The following is a 21,136-nucleotide window of genomic DNA, read 5'->3' as shown; positions in this document are numbered from 1 at the left end:
GATCATGGCTCACTGCAGCCTCGGTCTCCTGGGCTCAATCAATCCTCAGCCTCAGCCTCAGCCTCCAGAGTAGCTGGGACTATAGGCACGTGCCACCATGCCTGCTAATTTTTTTTTCACTGTGTTTTGTAGAGATGGGGTTCCACCATGTTGTCTAGGCTGGTCTCAAACTCCTGGGCTCAAGCCATGCACCCACCTCAGCCTCCCAAAGCGACTCCCATGGTGACGATAGTCACCATGCCTAGCCAATCATCTGATTTTTTTTTATGCATTATGTTTTAAAACTTTCTCCTAATATAAATCTTCAAAGGAATTTTTGTAAACATTCAAATGTCTGGTCTCATTTAAAGGTTTCTAGGAGATTGTGCATTTTCTTATCTAAGACAAAACATTTTCCAAATATGCATTTGGATATTTGCATATGAATAAACAGGGATTTATCAGAGCCAAGAGCAAAGCAAGAATCTCTTTTTAGGAGTCATTTACCCTTTCTACCTCCTACTTGGAGCATGAGGTAGCTCTCATCATTGGCATGGAGACTTTTTTTTTTCAGTTAGATGGTTTCATATTCTGTTCCTGGTGTTGCATTGCATTGCAGTACATATGGGCCTGGGAGTCAAACAGATCTTGATTCAAACCTCACTTCGCAACTTTTTAAATTAGCTCTGTTTCCTTACGCAGGTTAGCTAACAGCTCTTTAACTATGTTGCTAATCTATAAAACATGGGCCACAGCTACTTCACTGCAGGTTTGTATTAAATGAAATAATATTAATGGAATATATGTCATGTAGTATGTACTCAGTAAATACCAGTTTCCTCTGGCCTGTTAATTTTAATATATAGCTATGATTTCCTCCCCAATCCCTCTACATCATGGTGGCACATAGCATTACACTATAGGTATCAGATATTGTAGACAATGCTAAAGAAATAGGAGCAAGAAATTTTAGAAATTATTGATTATCTAATACTGACCCTGGGAATGAGCTTATGAGGAAAGAAATCTAAGGAAACCATCAGAAATTCCTGTCTCCTATAATTGTAATGTTTCCTACAATAATGAGTTAACAAACAGAAGTGGGAGATTTTTCAACACGGTGTTGCTGAAAGCCTATTCACATCAATACAGTGGAATGGAGTGATGTACATTAAACCTTATGAAATAATAGGAAATCCTTTTATTGCCCATTCATATGCCAGGTTAATGTGCTTCATTCCACAGTGGATGTTGCTCACCTTGGCTCACTCTAGATTAAGCTCATTGATTAACTACCCTTTGTAGGGGAAGGGTCAGAATACAACTCTCATTGAAATTATTAAATAGTTGCTATGTGTTTTCTTTTTTAAGAAATAGGAGGGGAGAAACACCTCCCACTCTAAGATACTTGGGGCTGCATTTCAGCCTACAGCTGATCATTTTAACTGAATTACAAACCCCATAAGCATAAGGTTTATAATGGAAACAATGACCCAATCTTAATTACAATGATTTTGGCAGCAATGTCCCTGCTATCCAGAGACTACTTTCTCATGTCAGAGGACTCTTTTAACCTCCTCAGAGTTCTTTTTCTGTGTAACTACAATTTTAGTGTGCAGGTCTTTCTGACTTTTTTTGGAATTGAGAGAGTTTGACCACATTAAGCCAAGGAGATTTCTCTGAATCTCCTCCTGCTGTGCCGTAATCAGTCTCAAATATCAATAATGTAGAATGGAAAGAAAGAAAAGGGAAACGAAAGGTGTCCTGATGTAGTGGAAAATGAGTGGTCTGGAGATCATGAGCCTTTGCTCTCTGTCTTTGATGAGATACTTTGAAATGCTAGCCCCCAAGTTTTCATATTGATAATATGGAGGTCTAGACAGCTGTAACTTTCTATAGGGAAGCCTATAGCTGTAGTTTACTCTGTTTGTCAATATCTTATTGCAGTTTTGTTTTAAATATAAACCAAAGGCCTATTTATTATAATAATACTAAATTTACACTTTTTCTTCCTTTGTAGTTTCTGAGGATATCACATTAACAAGGAAATTATTTCTGTGAGGAACAAGAATAAATAAAAGTTTGATAAAAAGATGAAAAGAGAGAGAGAAGGAAGAATATGAAGTCAGGAAGGGCCATATATGAACTAGACACAGAGTACAAGTGAGAGGACAGGAGGCAAAGACTCTAAAGAGTCAAAAATTAAGACAAGGAAAAGGAGAAGCAACAATTTGAACAGTAGGCTCACATTTAAGATAAAAAAAAGTATAAGATAGCTTTGAGGTGAACATTTTACATAATGTAAGAATTCCTTGTCTTATAAAAGAATCCTTTGAAATCTTCCCCTATGGCATTTAAAATAAGATTGAATTTATACAACTTTGATTTAGTCTGTGCTGTGAAAAAAATGAACTGTGAGCTTTAGATACTAGTCCCAGCTCTGCCTCAAAATATATGCTTTTGAGAAAATTAATTCTGAGTCTCAGAATCTTCATATATAAAATGAAGAAGAACAGGTAAGTTCTCATCCACTTTTAAGAATCATGAAATGAATGATCTTGTTGACATATTGCCAGAATGCTTATTGAAGGAAGTTGCTGAATCCGATTACATTAAATAGATGACCAAGAGAGAGAAATAAAAAACTTTTTGAAGGTTTTGACTAATATCTACATGCTCAGTCCTACAGAATTAACAAGATGGTAGCCCCATTTTTTAAAAGAATATGGCTACTATTGCTAAACATGCTTTAAGTTGAATCTTCGCTGGAATTTTTGAGAAATTGTAGTTGCAATTCTTTTTCTAAAGGTCTTATTCTCCAATTAACTGAAAGATGGCATTTCTGACTTTCTAAACCAGAATTTTTTTTTTCCAAAAAAAAACTGTTTAACCAAGAAAATGGAAATCAGTACATTCTTGGTGTCCTTCTAGTAATTTAAATTTGTGTAACCTAATCAAAACTCCACCTGCCTTGCCCTTCAACAAAAAGCCATATTCTCTTCCATTACTAAATGGCTACATTTGTCTCAGTATTTTTTAAAAGATGAATTACGTTGATATCCCATGACTTTTTCTTTAGAATGTGTCCATGGAAATTAAAATAGACTTTTCTGTGCCCAAGACTGAAATGAAAGACAGCCCAAAAGGGCTGGTGGAAATGAACACAAAACTTTGCTGATGTTATCAGTATTATAATTTTTGTTAAGCTTTTTCCTAATAAAATGGAACTGAAGTCAACTGACCCCTAAATAACTGCCTGATATTTCTCTTACAGTATTATTTTGTGTGCAGATTAATGATAGAGCAATATAGCCTAAGATTTCTTGTAAAACATCGGAATATATTTTTTCAGGCCTTTCTAGTGCATTCTTTCTACAGAGATATTTCTCCCATCATCATTTTTCAGTTTCAATAAATATTTGCTGAGTATAGAAAATGTGCCAAGCACCATGGCAAGTGCTAGGTATACAACTGTGTGCATACCACCATGGGTCATTAAAGCATCTTTGACAAGTGGACAGAGTACGCATCTGTTTAATATTTTCTAAGCTCAGATGGCTGAAAAGAGAAGACAACTGGATGACTAGAAACCCCAACTCTTGTTCTTTCCTTTGGATAACCTCCTGTGATTTTTCCCAGTCATCATTTGCAAACACACATTGAGGGAGAAATCAAGTTCCCTGCCCAGCTTTTCAGCTGATTACTAAAGAGAACTTCTCTTTCTCTTTCTCACCTTAGTGGTTGTTCTCAGCCATAGGAGGGCACTCAGGTACAGGAAGGACCTGTACCTAGCAGCAGAAACAACTTCACCCTTTCTTTCTGGTCCACGCTTTGGGAATTCATTATATGGCATGGGAAGCACTGAGCAGCATTCAAAGACTGAGAATGCTACAGGCATTCCACCCAAACAAAAGTAAAAGGCTCTCCATAGACATAAGAAATTATTTAAATTTCTTTATGAATATTGTTCCTCAATTTAGCGTTCTTCCTCATTTTGCCTATTTCTCTTTTATTATCCTATATTGGGCTGTTTTGTTCAGCCAAACAATTTGTAGCATGTCTGTTTTCAAAGTAAAATAGTGATATATTTAAAGTTCTAAATGTGTTCTTTATGTATTTTTAAAGGAGATGGGTAAAATAGAATGTATTTCTCTTTACCCTGATGACATTCCCGTGATATATTTCAAATAATATTTTTGATTGGGTAAGCCAGTAGGACCAAATCCATGGTGATCACAGATACAGATTCACAAATGCATAGAGAGAATCATAAATAGATGCATATGGAGGAGTCTGACAGTATAGTGAAATTGGTTTCAAGTAATTTGACACATTAGAACTTTCAGGCATTCACCTGCCAGTAATCCTTATTAGAAATAGGATTGGAATATTGGGGTCACCAGCTCAAGACCATTTTTTTGTGAGAGCTGAACAATAACCAAAAGTCAGAGCTATAGGAATAAAAATGAACCTATTCCAGTCATTAGAACTGTTTCTCTGAATAAGCTCTTTCTTCCTCTCCTTCATTCCTATTTTTTCCTCTCCCTATTTCTCCCTTTCTCTTTTTCCTCCCTCCCTCTCCTGCTCCTTTCTTTTTAGTGTTCTGAATTCATTAGATGGCATAGTGTAAATCAATAGTAAACGCTAACCGCCTACTCTGTACTCAGTTACGCAACATCACTTAACCGGTACACAGAGACAAAAAGGGAAAAAGCACACACAGCCTTTACATTCAAAAGCTCTTGCATAATTTTACTTTTCCACAGCCAAAAAGAAAAAAAAAAGGAAATAACAGATGGGGAAACTTACAGTTTTTTTTCCCTTTTCTCAGACTGTTTAAAAGGGAGTTAGTTAACATCCATGGCCCTTTCTAGTTGCCCTAGGCTGCAGCAAAATGTCCCATAATTGTCAGCACCTTAACTGGCTTTAAATGAGACATCGTGACCTGTATGATGGGTTAATTTTCCAGGTAATATAAGGCAACTTATTTTGAGATGTTTTGACTTCGTTTTTACTTATTTTGTGAAAAACCAACAACATTTAAAGTATGAAATGAATTTTAAAATAGAAAGAGTATAAGGAAGACGGGTGTGTGTGTGTTTGTGTGTTTTCACTTGAAATGTATCCTGATGTAATATTTATGTAAAAAAGCCAGTTATATAAACCCATCTTTCTCTTGCTTTTTACTTTGGGAGCTATATAAAGCTCTAATGCTTTTTTTTTTTTCTTTTTTTCTCTTTCTTCTTCTTTTTTTTTTTTTTTAACAAAGTACATTCAAACTCCAAAGTCTTAATGAAAGAGAAAACATCTAGATGCTACAACAGAGACAGTTAATTCAGACTTCCTATAGAATTCATCATCTAAACAACAGTTTTATTTAAGAAGGAATAGTTTCTGTAATTCTCATTTAGAGCTTTCTGTCACATTTCTCCCTGGAACACCTTTGGTTTCACTGTACTGCCTTCTTAATGTCTCAAATGTACAATAAATCTCTCTCTTTCTCTCTCTCTTTTTCTCTCGCTCTTTCTGTAGCCCTTCGCTCCTTCCCACAACCCCCTCCCCCTTTTCTTTCATTGGAGTAACTCCCTTTCCACCTTAAGTGGGAGCACAGTGAGATTTGTATGCAATTTATAAGTCCTTCATCCCTGTTGTAATATTTGGTTTTGCTTAACTGACTGGTGTCCTCTGGGAACCAGGCATTTGTCTGATAAGGGAGGTTGGAGGGATTTTTTGTTTTGTTTTGGTCTTCCTTTTTAGTTTCTGCCTCTCAAGCGGTCATAAAATGGATATAAAGTGATAGCACAGCCCTAGGCACTGTTAGGCATCTCTTAGAAGAAATTAAGTTCAGGTGTGTGAAGGGTAGCAGCAGTGGTGGTAGTTTTGATTGTTTTTAATACAACCAGAAAAGGTGGGAGGTGGGTGGAAGAGAGGATGGATGCGATCATTAGTGTGTGAGGAGGAACTATTGAAGCGCTTGATCTCCTTGTATCTCAGATCAGCATCATTCTTTAAGATCATACTTTACTTCTGGATATTAAAGCCATAAGAAATTGGTTCATTTAATTTTACTAAAGTTATGAATTTGTTTAACACTGTCTTATGTGTTAACTATTGCAATTTAGAATTCCTTTGTATGGAAAAATCTGGTGCACAAGATAAAAATCAAAACTATTATTGCCCAAATGTGAGGTTCTCTGTTTTAACAACTGGGTGATCGAGATTATTGGTATTATCCCATCTCTGTATTTGTGATGACTTGCGGAAATCTTTTCTGATCTTAATATGAATAATGACTAAGCTAGTATATATATATTTAATGTATTTTATCAATACTTTTCCATTTAGCTTTATTTTCTTAACAGGATCTATAGCTCAGATAAATTTATTACAGAGAAATAATGAAAATTGGTCAGAATATTCTAGTCTCTAACTGGGATATCATATTCCCACATGCATTTTTCTAAGGGTTCCTCTACATGTATTATAGTTGAGTTTGGATTCCAATATGCAGTTTTGCATGTAGGTGCCTGATTGTCAAAAGAAAAAAACATAAAACATTTGCACCATGTAAAGTGCATTGTTTATGATGTAATTTTAATATGATTAACAATCTGCACAAAGCTTTTTAAATGTGTAGTTCTGTATACAAGAAGTTATTCTGAGTACCCTAATTTTCAAATGGGTTGTTTAAATTTAAAAAAAAAAAACTTAGAACACAAAAGTGAGGGAGATTTGCATTTTATTGATTGTCAAAAATAGTTGAAAGTATCTCGTTATAAAAGAAGCAGAGGAAAAGTCTTTGAACTTTTTCCCTGCCTCTTGTTGTCAGAATAGCTTCCATTTTCATCTTGGTGGGTTTTCACGGTCTCTGAACCATACTAGGGCAGGACTGACCTTTCAAATCTCGATGTGTGCCAATGTAGACTTCTCGGCTCTCATTTTCTGTTGTAACCAAGGCCTTGGGAACACATTAGCTGTTTCTCATTTTTCTGTTTTTTTTTATTTTTTTAATATGGGATCCAGGCTTAAGACAGGTGGCAGGCCTAAGCTTTCTGTTACTTGGACATGCAAGAAAAGAAGCTAGGGAGAATTTTAAACAGTTTCGAATTTTTCATAAGTCTTTGACAACTCTTTCACCCTAGCTTCTCTTCTTATTGCTGTTGGCAGTAGGGATAGATTTTTTCTTTTAATGTGGCAACAAGAACCTCAGTTACTGACTTACCTTTTCAAGCAGAATCCATCCAGTTGTGTCTGGCACATAATAGTACCATCATAAATATTTTCCGTGTTTCAGTGAACTCGTAAGGGACCTGCTATGGCCAACCCTGCAGACTGCTGATGCAGGTAAGCAGTAAGCCATACAAGTAATAAAGGGTAAGAAGAAATCTGATACAGAACTCTTCAGACTGTAGTAGTGGACCAATCACTTCATTTTATGAGAAAGGCCTTTTTATCCTTTCTGCCTTTATAAAAGAAGCAAATTTCAGAAGACAATTTTACATCTTTCCTAGAGGTTCTTTTTAGGGGTCTGTGCTACATAGACTGTTGGCTGATTTAACAAACATAATTTTTGGCAAGCTACTTTGGTGATCCTCATTAAGTTTCATATGCAAATGTGTTAGATACTTATGATTCTAGCTATCGAGTATGCTCCTCATGCACTCTGCCACAGGGTCCTTTGAATCTTGGCTTTTCTCATTTTCTCTGGACAATTGTTTTTGGACTTCTTTTGTTTATATAAGTCCTAGGATGGTAACTATAAAAAAAATTCTATAGGGTTCTTCTTTTATACAGTGTTTCATTACTTTTAGCTACACGAATTCCTGATTTTTCTAAATCCATTTTGGCTTAAAGTAATCATGCTGGCCATTTTCAAGGCTTTCATTGTGGTAGTGATATTGGGGGTGCTGAGTGATCTTTGGGAAAACCACCTGTAGCTTCTGAATGTTAAAGGCATTGAAAAGCTTGTAGAATGATAGACTGCTGCCTGTTAGATGAGCAGTTTTTTAAATGCAGATTATATAATATTTAAAGACTTTGTTGCTCCACAGTAGAAGCTTTTTAAATGTTAATTTGGGTTTTGTTTTGTTGTTCTATGACTTCGCATAAAAGATTTTGGGTCTAAAAGGTTTCAGTTCACTCGTTCCATTTGTCTTACAAGACTTGGAATATAATATTATACATTTATTTATACTTATAAAGGAGGATAAGGCCAATAACTCACAACTCATGAAACCGAGGGTAAATAATCCATAGCTTATTCTCCCACCATTGCCACAATATTTATAACACAAATAACAAACAACTAAAAACAAAGAGAAACCAGCTTGTTTTTATGTACAAAATGTTTGATCAAAACTACAGTAAAGCTCAAATGGAGCTGCAAATCCTAGTGGTTTACAGTGGTTTGATTTATTTTTTTAAACAGACCATGGATAATTAACCATAAAACATAACCTTCTCAACACAAGTTACAGTGAATTGCAGAAATGGGCAGCAAGTCATTCATAACTGGTTGCAACTGGTTAGAGACCTTAAAGTTAAACATGCAGGCAGTTACAAAAGATACTTTCTTAGTGCACAATTCTATTTCCATTCCCAAAGGGAAACATCCTTTACTTTTTATATACTACCACTTAGTCAGTATCCCAAAGTGAGGAATAAATGGGTTATTTTCTATGATTACCATGTTATCATACATTTATTAAAATAAATACCTAGCACTTACCTGTACTCTTTTTATTTCAGAATGTTTCATCATTACTAACAGGATATTCCTCATGACATTGCTGTCTGGTAAGTAACTCTCATTATCTCTAAATGGCAGTCCAAAATATTGAGGTGCAAAGAAGTCAAATATCTTTCCATGAACCTCAGAAAATATGAGATCCAAAGGCTGTGGTGAGTCTTTGGGTCTAAACTTTAGCAATACTAAATTTTGACAGAACATATTTTGACATTGGTAAAGGACAGATCTTTAATATCCTATTTGTTCATTTGAAATACCAGCATTTAGAAGAATAAGAAACATGATCTCCAGAACCTATTATCACAGATTTTGACAAATATTTTAGAATACTCTGCTAAACAAGATGGAAGTATTCAAAGGATTTGTTTGGAAGACCCTCCAGAGAGATATATTTCCAAAGGAGACTCCTGAGTGGACAGAAAGAGTGATAGGGTGAAGTTGGCACTGATGTTTCCTGTGTGGAACATTGTATGTTTTGAAAAAACTCAAAACCCTCCAAACACATTTAGTGATACTTTGAACTACCCATTAGTATTCTATGGTATTCTGTAAATTTGAAATGCATTTGCTTCATTTGGATCAATCTTAAAATTAGACATGGTTGCTCTTGTACTTACCAACAAGCAAAAAAGGAAAATACCCTTCAAAGACATAAATAAGGCTATCCTCTTTTACCAGTTAAGTAAGAGGACCAAGACCAGGGCTACAGGTAAGCATAGGCTTGAAGATTTTTCTAGGTGTCTTGTAGTGAAAATTTGTAAAGTTTGTAAAGTTTCAAAAAGATTGGTATTGTGGCCTTCTAGAATTCTTGATATTTCCATGACTGGGAGAAGAGTGCAGGTCAAGACTGGGGGTGTATAGATAAAGTATTATCCAATCAGAGCTTGAAACAGCTGACTTTGCTAGAGGCTGACCTGCATTGAAATGCACTGGCAACTGTACTGGAGAGGGAGGAGGAGGAAAAGGGTGACTTCCCTGGCATCTAACTGTGTTCTGCCTGGCTCCATCTAGGCCTGTTTAGTCATGAACATCATATTCATCCAAACCTTTAAAAGTTACACTCTTGACTTCGCTTTATATGAACGTGCATAAACTGAGGGAAATAATCTCTTGGGGTAATAAAGATAGTTTTCTAACAGAGACTTTCCATATCCATTGTGCATAATCCATAGTTGTCACTGTGTTGTTGTTTCTGATTCTGTTGCACATCTATCTCTGTCTCTCTGAGCATATCCATCTCACCAGTGAAGGCCAGGAGCCTTCGGGATTGTAGCTCCGCCTCCCTCCCCACTCCCACGCTTTACTTGCTATGCTACCCCAAAAGAAACTCGTATTAGTAAGCCTCAGGAGCTCAAGGGAAAGGCTTATTTGGTGACTTTAATTTGTCACTCCTTTTGCATTTATCACAAAATGATCTCATCACAAAAAGGACTGAATTTCACGCTTTTGCTGGCTTGCAAACAAGCCAGTTTCTTCCCTATTGCTGTCCAACACAGAGAAAGCTCTTTATGTTTCTATGATCAGATAAAATCTGTATTGACGTTTCTTTTCCTGTGGGTGTATTTCCCTTCTAGGTATGGAGATTTAAACTATCTGGGCAATGCTGTGTGTTTGCAGTTTCTCTGTTTCAGTAAATGAAAAGCTCCTTGGGGAAGGAGAACATATCTTTTCCAGTAATGAAGAAATATTTATTTTCATTTTAAAATGATACATGCTCATTAAAAATAATTTAGAAAAACACATAGGAGTAAAATGAAGAAAAATTAAAGTAATTATTTCTATAATTTAAATCCAATCATTAATAACCATTTGATATATTTCCTTACTCTCATTTTCCCCGAGGATATATTTTTAAAACATGATGTTATCATACTTTCTATATAATTTTGTGTCCTGCTTTCAAAATTTAACCTAAGAAATATGTAATTACATAGACCTTATAAACATTTAAAATAAATATATAATATTCCTGAAGAGGAATAGCTCATTTAACCTAAATGCCCAATAAGAGCATTATTATTATTATTTATATCTCAATAATACCTTGCATAAACAGTAAATGAATCAGTCAACAAATAATAAATGAATAAAAGTTCAAATCAGTATATGTTTTTAAATTTTTTATGATAAAAAATCTTAAATTCATGAATATAAACAAATTACTATAATGAACTCCCATGTACTCATCACCAGCTTGCACAATGACTAACTGATGGCCTGTTATTTTCTCACTATATCACCATGTTATGTTGAAGCAAACCCCAGACATTGTAGTATTTAGTACATCATTATTTCAGATCCATCAGGATATTTTTTACACGTTAATGTTAAAAACTATTCAGATAAATAGTTCTTATTATTGTATATAGTAGTATTTTTCTTCATAGTATCCTGACATCATATTTTCTAACATGTAACAGTTGATTGTAAAATCTCATCAGTGAGTTGCCTAATATTCTTAGACACATCTGTAAGCCACAGGGCAATTTGGTTGCCTAGAGAAATATTTCACAGATTTGGCTAGGTTTCTTGGGGGAACTATTTTCTTTTGGTACTTTTTTTACTTGACTCAAATTTAGGATGCTAATTTGCCTGCCAGATCTATACAGCATTAATTATACTTATTATTGGGTTTAAGCATGTGTTGAATACAATTTCTTACCTGAGGTGAAAGGAAAGCATAGTCCCCTTATTACTTAGAACTCCAGTCTGGCTACAGCCAACCAATACCAGATAAATATGGCAAATCTACTTAAATCAAATGTAACACTGGCTTTAAAAGTTTATAATTTTTAATTAAGATTATTGGCAGACATGGAAAACATGTGATGGGTATGTGAGGCATTTAGAAATATGTAAAAGGGGGAATTATATAATAAAAATCTGAATCATTTTTAAACAACATGTTTGGGGGGAAAGAAATTATGCATTGTATAACAAAGGGTGCTCTCTGTGCTTGTATTATTGCTCTAGTTTATTCTAAAAATATTTAGAACCCTCTATGAGCCAGCTTCCCATGGCTAGCCTAGATCCTTTACACACAGAGTTCCACAGATGAGGAATGCTCTGTACAAATCAGGCTGTCTGTAGAGAACCTGTATCTGTAGTCTTGTGCTGTCTCACTGTCTTTGAATTGTAGGTCAGTGACTATTCAGTAGTGATGTGTTGTCCAACAGGTGTATTACACGCATCAGAAATTCAGGATGTAACTATGCAACATACTGCATCAGTATAAACTGAATTTATGTGTTACTCAGGTCTATTTAATCTTAGGAGCACATTTTCCATTGGCCTCAAAAGTGAGTAGCTAGAATATTGATGTGCCTAACCCTTGGGGAAGAAAAAAAAGTTTCCCCACCACACTAAATCTCTAGAAAAATATGAGGGTTTACAGTATGGACATATACAAAATATTTTCAGCCAAAACTGGTAGAGCAAAGCACATGGAAAAAAAAGAGAAAGTCATAACATTAGCAATAAACTATCCTGAGCAAACAGAGAGCATATATAAAATTTGTCAGATTAGATGGTATAAACAATACAAACTCTTTTTTTTTCTTTCCATTTCTTTTTCCCCTCTGAATCTTCTGATTATTTTGTCTCCTTTACTCTGGGCCTGTCATCATCATTAAAATATCAGAAAAGGTTAGAACTATATCGGATGGCTTGACTAAGGCAGGTGTCACAAGAAAAGACCAGTAGGAACTAGCCATTATACTATTTTAAAGCTGCAAGTCTTCTTCACTTTTTTCAGCATCCTGTTCTTATATGTGGTGTTAAATTATGTGTCTCATATCACATAAACCTAGAATATAAACTGCCTTTTAAAAAGATCCATAAGTTTACCCACAGTTCTTTCTAGCTTATGTATTATATATTTCACCCAAGTGAACCATCAATGCCTCATCATTCTAATAGCTGTAATAACAATAATTATTATTAATGATAGCATTTGCTTCTTGGTGTATGTACGCGTACACCTTTTTCTCTTGCTTCAGGTTTCCTTATGCTTGGCCTCTTTGGCTCTTGGTGCTAGTTCAGTTGTTGTTACATTTGTGACCTCACGTATCCTCAAGCTATAAGACATTTCTTAGAACGAACTAGTACGATACACCTTCCACCTCCTTTCCCCCAGTTAAGCTCAGAATTGTGGTTAGATGATTCTGCTTACATGAGGCAGGGAATCCTTGGCAGATACCCCCACCAACCAAGATTTTCATTTTAGACCTAAGGATACCAATACATGTCACAAAAGCAAGATAAGTGGTTTGTTCAGATCATCAGATCCCTGTTTAATGAAGCTGACATATTTTCTGAATAAACTTTATTGGATGCATAACACAGGATCATGCACAACTGCTATAGGATGGGATTTATGACATTACCGTAATGAGAGAACTTTGGTGATTCTGCTCTACCTAGAGTGGTGAAGGAAGGATAAAAACCCCACTCAAGACAAAAATATTCAAGAAAATGGTTCTGTAGTCAGCTCATTCCTTTCATGGTGGAAGTGTTAACGAAAGAAATCTTCACTTATTTTTCTCCTCTTACCTAGAGAATACTTTCTTCTTACCTAGAGTCTGTGATATGAAGAATATGCTCTGTAGATGGTCTTATCTTATGTGGATTGGTCCATGGGACACTATGCTAGGCTCCATAGAGAACTGGTTATGTATGTTCTGTCCTCCTCTATGAAAACATTCCTAACCGTACTGTTGATGTATACATTTCGGTCAAAAGTAATTTGCTTTCTGGGTATTTGATGGCCACTCTGTGAATCAACCTAATGTATTTGTGGTATGGAAATCTGTAACCTCTCAATACTAAGTTTAAAGACTCTTATAATTAATTATTGAAAGGCACTTTAGCCCTTAACTATTTCTCTCTTTGGAGAAACAAATTGATCGGTTAATCATGTCTTTGTTTATTTTTATTGTTGTTGCTGTACACATTGCACATAAAACAGGAAAGAGGAAAGGCTGTTTGTAAGAGGTAATTACAATGGCAAAATTGTATTTTCTCTAACTGTTCTCATTTTCTCATGTCTGATTATATCAAGACCTGCACTCTAGAAGTGTGTTTCAGTTTTGCTAAGAAAATGATAGAGGAGAAGAATAAATCCATTTCTATAAAGTGGTGTCAAACACAACTTGACACAGTTACAAATTTCTTTTTTTTTTTTTTCAACTTTTATTTTAGATTCAGAGGATACATGTGCAGGCTTGTTACCTGGGTATATTGTGTGATGCTGAGGTTTGGGGTATGTATGATCCCATCACCCAAGTACTGAGCATGTACTGAACAGTTAGTTTGGTTTTTTGTTGTTGTTGTTTTGTTGTTGTTTTGAGATGGAGTCTCATTTTGTCACCCAGGCTGGATTGCAGTGGTGCAATCTTGGCTCACTGCAACCTCCGTCCCCCCGGTTCAAGTGATTCTTGTGCCTTAGCCTCCCAAGTAGCTGGGATTACAGATGCGCGCCATCATACCCAGCTAATTTTTGTATTTTTAGTAGAGACAGGGTTTCACCATGTTGTCCAGGCTTGTCTCAAACTCCTGGCCTCAAGTGATCCACCTGCCTTGGCCTCCCAAAGTACTGGGATTACAGATGTGAGACACCGCGCCCGGCCACTAAGAAGACTTTGATTTCTCGTCACATCTTTTGATAATAAGGATCTGGAGCCAAAGGAGAAACAGAAACTACTTTTAAGAACTTTGGAGATCCAAGTTTAGTGGACTCTTAAGAGCCTGTATTATTTCTTGGATGACTTATCCAGCCCTTTGTAGAATCAGAACTCTCACAATTTTCTTTAAATCAAATAAAACCCAAGGGGTTAAGTGGATCTTTAAAATTATTTCCAGGTCATTCTTTCAATAAACATTTATTGGTTTATTTGTTATTATTTCAACAAACTATGTGACAGGCAAACATGAACTCATTTCTTTCTTTCTTTTTTTTTTTTTTTTTACCTTTCAACTCCTTTTATTTATTTACCTATTTATTTTCCTTAAGCAAGTAAATCTCCCTATGGATTGTTAAGGGCCCTGTGCATATTTGCATGTAGCCAAAGATTCAGTCTCTTGCAGGAACTCTGGTTGTCAACTGGTGATCTTGCCTTTGTCTTTTCTCATAGTTCTGCCTGTGGCGCCTGTCACTAGCAGTCAAATAAGGACAATTTTACCATTCTCTCCTGCTGCTCTAATTTTTTTTTAGTGCCGGTACATGAATTTGTTATTCTTTATAATTCCCTTTGAAGTTGGAAATCCAAGGGGAATCTAAAACCGACCAGATGTTTCTGCTGCTGGAAAGGAAAGAGAGTAAGGATTAAGTTTAACAAAAACTTGGTCTCCAGAAAAAAAAAAAAAAAAACATTTCAGCTGGAAATCATCTTTAAATGCATTCATTTGCTACATATCTGTTAGTTAATTTACATTTACTGGTCCTTTGTAGGCTATGTCCTCTATCAATGTACTCTGGGGAAAAATCATACATTTTGTTAACAAAAAGACCCATGCTGTGGTTTGCTCAGGCCCATTTCCCTCATGGAGTTTTAGTTCTATTACTCTGCGTATTTTTCTCACATGCCTTACACTGAAGTTATCCTGTTGCTCTTGTTGTTGTTGTTGTTATTGCTGTTGTTGTTGTTGAAGGTTCACTATCATATCACATAAAGTTTGGAGGCCATTTTAGCAAACTGATCCAAGAGGGTGAGGTCAATACAGCCTGCGGTTAGGGAGGGAAGGAAGGAAGTTCTGCCAAACTGCTTAGCCTTTATGGAGAACTTCATTCTCGTTAGAGATATGTAGATCAAAACAAGAACAAGAGTGATGAAGGCCTTCAGGGGGAATAAAGAGAAAGTCTTGTGGTTTTTCGAGGATTCAGATGACATTGCAGACAGTGTGAATAAACAGGTTGGGAAATGAAAAATGATAGAGAAAGGTATATTAGAAAACAAAAGAGAAACGGGCATATGTGAGACACATTTACAAGACCTCTCAGAATGGGTGCCCAAGGCTTCAGACCCCAATACACAAAGGGAAGAGTAATTAAAAAATAAAATTAGAGAAGAGTCTTAAAAATCAATCAGAATGTTTTGGTGGTTGGCTTAATACTTCACAAAAGCATTGGATTGAAGAAATGGATATTTTATTTGCTTGTTTCCTGCACAGCATCTCTCATACTATCCTCCTCAGTTGTTCTCTGGATTTCCTAGGCTTCCCTAGGTTTTCAGAAGGACACCAAATTCTGTGAATAACTGCTTCGCACTCTTTACCTTGCTCAGTGGATTAAACATTTGGAAACATTTCCCACACCTCACCATCACAAGGGATGAATACTCACCACTCAGAGTTTCTGTTACCCTACCCTATCTTATTTTTAAATAGAAAGTCTGAGTCCTCAGTAATTATATTAAGCTCCTTAAGCTGCACATATCAATTGCATATACCATTTTAAGCATTTTCCAGTCTTTTTAAAGAGAGAGTAGAGGAAAAGACAGAGAGAAATCACTTAGCAGCTGATTCACTTATTTTAAGCAGCTTTCTTCATTTTAAAATATAAAAAATTCAGGTCCTGGAACATTGGGTGATTTGAATGTTCTATAAAGATTTGAAAAAAGATTTTTTTAAAATTATATGTTCTACATTCAGGGACCTGGATTTTTAGTTTAGTCCTTAAAAAAACAGGTTGGTGAAGTAAAGGAGTTTTCAGTCTAAACACTTTATTTCTTCTTCCTTTTCATTTATTTATTTATTATTATTACTATTCTCTTTTGTCAAAGCATACGGTATGAAAAGCATTTATGTTGGTCTCACTACTGACAGAGCTTAACCTAATAATCCAAGACTTGGAACTTGGTGTTTCAATAAAGGAAACACTGTTTGAGGTATTTTCCATTCAAACCAGCATCAAAAGTTTTTAATTAACACCATCAGAAATTAATGGACTGAATGAATGCAAGACAGCGTTCCTACATACCCCTTTACTGGGAACAAGACAGCAAGTGGGATCCATTGTGTATGTTTGTATTTTATAATGTATTTTTATTTACTTATTGAAGCAGAGTCCCAGCTGCACATTGCGTAGCAGAGCTACAAGAGTGAAACCTGCCGAGGGCTGCTTCACTCCAGCAGTTTCATTTTGCTCACTGATTGTTGTCCTGAGTTCTTTGTGATTGTAATTGGTTAGAAAGTTTGAAATTAGCAAGTCCTTGTCAGCTCATGAAAGCTTTGAAATCATGAGGCTTGATACAGCTATCAAGCCTGCTGATGCCTAATCACTTTTCGGGCTAAGAACCTCCAGAGCGGTGAACATTCTCAGTCCCCAGGCTTTACCTCAATCACCAATTCACCACCCTCTGGAGCTCCTTGTCTTGGATGGTGGCTTTGTTTGGGGCCCTTTCTTTTCCATCACTGAAGCCTATAGCGGGATGAACAGATTTTGGACTGACTAATGGGGATGGGGGTTGTTAGGAAATGAGAGCAAATGGGAAAACAGAATGATGTAGGGGATCAAGGGAATAGGGAGGAAGGAAAAGGGGTAGAAAGAGCATAAAAGAAAAAGGAAGCGGGATATAAGATGGAAAGAGCTTTGTAAATATTGACATTTAGATTCTGTGCAACTGGATTTGATATCTCAGGATAGAACTCACTGATAGAGCCTAAATGGTCCCCAGGGCTCTTTATTTTTTCAGACTTTTTTTTAAAGGCCTGCCCACTCATTGTCAAAGGGAAGACATGTGTGTTCATATAACCTACCTACCCTACCACCTCCCCATTTGTGAGGACCAGGAATACAATATTTTCTTTTATACATTACATTAGAGGAATGAGGGGTTTATCAACTCCTCTCCTGTAACCATAAAAGTATCCATTGTTTATCCTTATGCTCTGAGTCCCCAAACCAGTTTTCTCCAGAAAACTCTTTCACAGCTTGGTAAATTTTTAAATAACCCCACCTTCATCCTTGTAGCAATGCAGGAGCTGCTCAGGCAGGGTTACCTAAAGTAAATAGATATTGTCAGCAATGATGAAATGTTTACGAATGCTTAAAGGTCTTAATAACTTTCTGTATATCTAACTCATTTATGTTCAAAGACCTCAAGCTTCATACATTTAGGTGCAACTCTTAACCTGTCCCAATTTCTCCTGTATTTTAATAAAAACAAAAATAAATACAAACCAGATACAAAAACAACACCACAAATCTTAATGCTATGAATTCAGAATGTCAGAAAAATTTTCAATAGGCCCCATTATGGCAAAATGCTGCAAAAATGCGTCAGCATTTTGGGAAAAGCTCCCTAAAGTCGTTCAACTATTTCTTCCCTGAAATATGGGAAGATGAATACATATTAGACTCCTAGAAGAAAATAATTGGTGAATGAGTGTCAGGATTTTCAGAAGCACTGCTAAAAATCTGATCTTGCCATCATAGCAAGAGAATCAGTTAAGCCTATTAACAACATGTCATTTTTCTTAGCTGGACAGTGTAGGATTTACTGTCCCAAAGTCTGACTTCATGCAGGAGTCAGAGGAGACAACTTGTTTGGAATATAATTTAATAAAGAAGATGCAGCCTAACCTTCCCCAGATCATACTTTAAAGGATGCAATATCAGACTACACAGTATATTATACACCACTGCCCCCCACCCCAAGTCTTTACAGGCTTCTGTAGCAGATATGGCTGTCAGAATCCTGTCATAGTCCCTCAGAGATGTCAGGCAGTGCTGTCATGGTCCCTTCAGCTGCACCTGAAGCCGTTCTCTGCTAACCCAGACTCCCACCTCAAGTATGCTTTTCCTTCTGCCCCAGGACCTTTTCCAATGCTGGGAGATCTCAAAAAATCTAGGATGGGGAGAGTGGGGCTTACATTAAGCCCCCAGGGCTTAATGCCCTGGGGAAACTCTCAACTAAAGGAGGAATAGAGCTGGAAAAAGAGATGTTCTAGCCTCTATTTCTTTATAATGTCTACCTCTGGAGCCATTTTGTGTAAATCTCAGAGATCCTGGCCAATCCTTATTATTGTCAATCCTTATTATTATCTTACCCTCTGAGATTACCTTCTAAGTTACTGCCTGTACTGAAGCCTTTGGAGGGAACCTAAAATGAGCCAGGTACTCAGGTTGGTTTGTTTGTATTAATCAATTTGCAGCAACTTCTTCTCTACTGTTGACTGCCCCCCATGAATTATTGTCCATTCATAGCCTGATTCCCACCTTCCATGAGACAGATTAATAAGACTCCACAACACAAATGACAATGGAATGGAAAGTTCAGAACTCTCTTTCTGTACCTCAGTGTCTAAGACATGGATATGTAAAGATTTTTTCTGGGGTATGGTGACCAAGATGATCACCTTAACATCACAAGCCTACTCCTTTTTAACCAAAATGTCCCAGTCTGGACTGAAGAAACTAAAGGATGAGGAATAGTCCAGCAAAAGGTACCTTAATTTTCCAAGTAGTTTACTTTGGCTCCAGGTAAGTACAAAAGGACATGATATTCCATGTTAGCTATATTTCTCTCTGAAAAAAAAATTCCTTCTTTTAGAAAAGTTTATCAAACATTTAATCTAGGAGAATAAACTATTGACAACTACAGAATTTGTTCCCGCAGAAAATACCTAAAGTCTCTGCTCATTTCATGTTTACTAATATTTCATTAGTCAAAGCAAGTCACTTAACCAAGCTCAAAGCCAAGAGACAGAGATATATATCCCATCTCCCACATTAACACATACTCTACTGAGAGTTACATTCAAGTCATATGGTAAAGTTTATGGATGTAAAGTTCTATTATAGAGAGGGAGTGAAGAATTAGAGAAAGTAATCCGGTCTATCACATATATTATTGGTTTGGACTCAGAAACAAATGGTTTGAATAAACAACTTAAGAAGCCTGATGAGTTATAAGGGACTTTTGTGTTAGTGATTGATACCACATTTACAATCACAGTCTCTCTAATCACTTTCAGGGGTTTTCATCATAGATTAGTTTTGAATTCATCAATTATGGTAAGCACTGAATAGAAAATAAGGGTCAGATAAAACACAGTAGGTTAGAGATGAAGAGTGCGAATTCTATTCCAGCTCTATCACTGAGGGTGAAATCTCACACATTTCTACTGATTTTCTCCCCCCTCAGTATTATGATCTCAAAAAAGGAGTACTACTCTTCTTTTTTATTTTTTCTTAGTATAGAAAGCATACAAAAGGCATTGTAGAATTCTGTGCGTAGCATAAATTACAAGAGGACGATTAAAATCCCCACAATCGTCTAGAAGTAATTTGTTTTCAAACTTTGGGGATATACCTTTCTAATCATTTTTTTTCCTGTGCATATATACCCTTTTTGTTTTTGGTAAAACACTGTGAACACTGTTTCTACTTTTGTCTCTTAAATCTGTGTTGTGAGTAACATTCTATGCCTTTAAATAATCTTCAGTGTCATTTTTGTGAAGATTTATTCCACATTCACCATCCTTTTTTTGTGAAATTTAAATCAGATGTCATAAAGTCTTTAAAAAGCAGAATTACTTTGAAAATAAAGGTATTATTATTATAGAATTTTAGAGATTAAAGAAAAAACAGAAACTAACATTTAATGAAGACCTACTCTGTGCCATGCCATGTGCTTAGAACTTTGTTTAAGCCATTTCATTTAATAACCTTTCAACCTAATGAAGCAATATAGCATGATGGTTAAACTCTGTGGGCTATAGGCTGTCAAGTTCAGCTGCACAGCGGCTAACTAGCTTTATGACTTTTCAAATGTTTATCTTCTTTTTGGCTTAGTTTCTCTGTTACAAAGTGGCAATAATAATAATAGCACTCACTTCCAAAAGATTGTTGTAGGATTAAATGATTGGATAGGTTCAAAATGTTAGGAACAGTAGTATTCAATAAACATAGTTATTATTTGCTATCTTTCCCACTACTCCATAAACCCTCTATTAAAATACAAATCCACATTGATTTTAACTGCTTTGGTGTAGAAGTGGATTCTAAGAAGAGGCAATGTGAAATAAATGGAAAAGCCAAGGATTTTATGTTTTTTAATCCTGGCTCCCAGCCTTCTAATAATTTTGCCTCTGGGAATTTTGTCAAGATTTACAGGCTGGGCGTGGTGGCTCACGCCTGTAATCCCAGCACTTTGGGAGGCCAAGGGAGGTGGATCACCTGAAGTCAGGAGTTTGAGACCAGCCTAGCCAACATGGCAAAACCCCAACTCTACTAACAATACAAAAATTAACCGGGCGTGGTGGCACACGCCTAATAGTCCCAGCTACTTTGGAGGCTAAGGCAGAAGGATCGCTTAAACCCGGGAGACGGAGGTTGCAGTGAGCCAAGATCGCACCACTGCACTGCAATCTGGGTTACGGAGTGAGACTCCGTCTCAAAAAAAAAAA

The 21,136-nt window shown here is 36.2% G+C and overlaps 1 protein-coding gene across 15 annotated transcripts in view; it reads left to right on the top strand.

The window, feature by feature from the left end:
• The window catches only part of ZBTB20 (zinc finger and BTB domain containing 20), an 832,789-nt gene that overhangs the window by 444,986 nt on the left and 366,667 nt on the right, over positions 1-21,136 (top strand). For 14 of the 15 annotated variants that reach the window (NM_015642.7, NM_001348801.3, NM_001348800.3 and 11 more), the window contains one exon: positions 8,728-8,775. The exons of the other annotated variant lie outside the window; for it this stretch is intronic. The gene's annotated coding sequence lies outside the window, so the exon portion shown is untranslated. The remainder of the gene's footprint in view (positions 1-8,727; positions 8,776-21,136) is intronic. 15 annotated transcript variants of the gene reach the window in all.

This window comes from Homo sapiens, chromosome 3 (genome assembly GCF_000001405.40).
Source record: "Homo sapiens chromosome 3, GRCh38.p14 Primary Assembly".
Lineage (NCBI taxonomy): Eukaryota > Metazoa > Chordata > Mammalia > Primates > Hominidae > Homo > Homo sapiens.
Note: the sequence above shows the minus strand (reverse complement) of the source record. Positions and strands in the feature narration are given on the sequence as shown.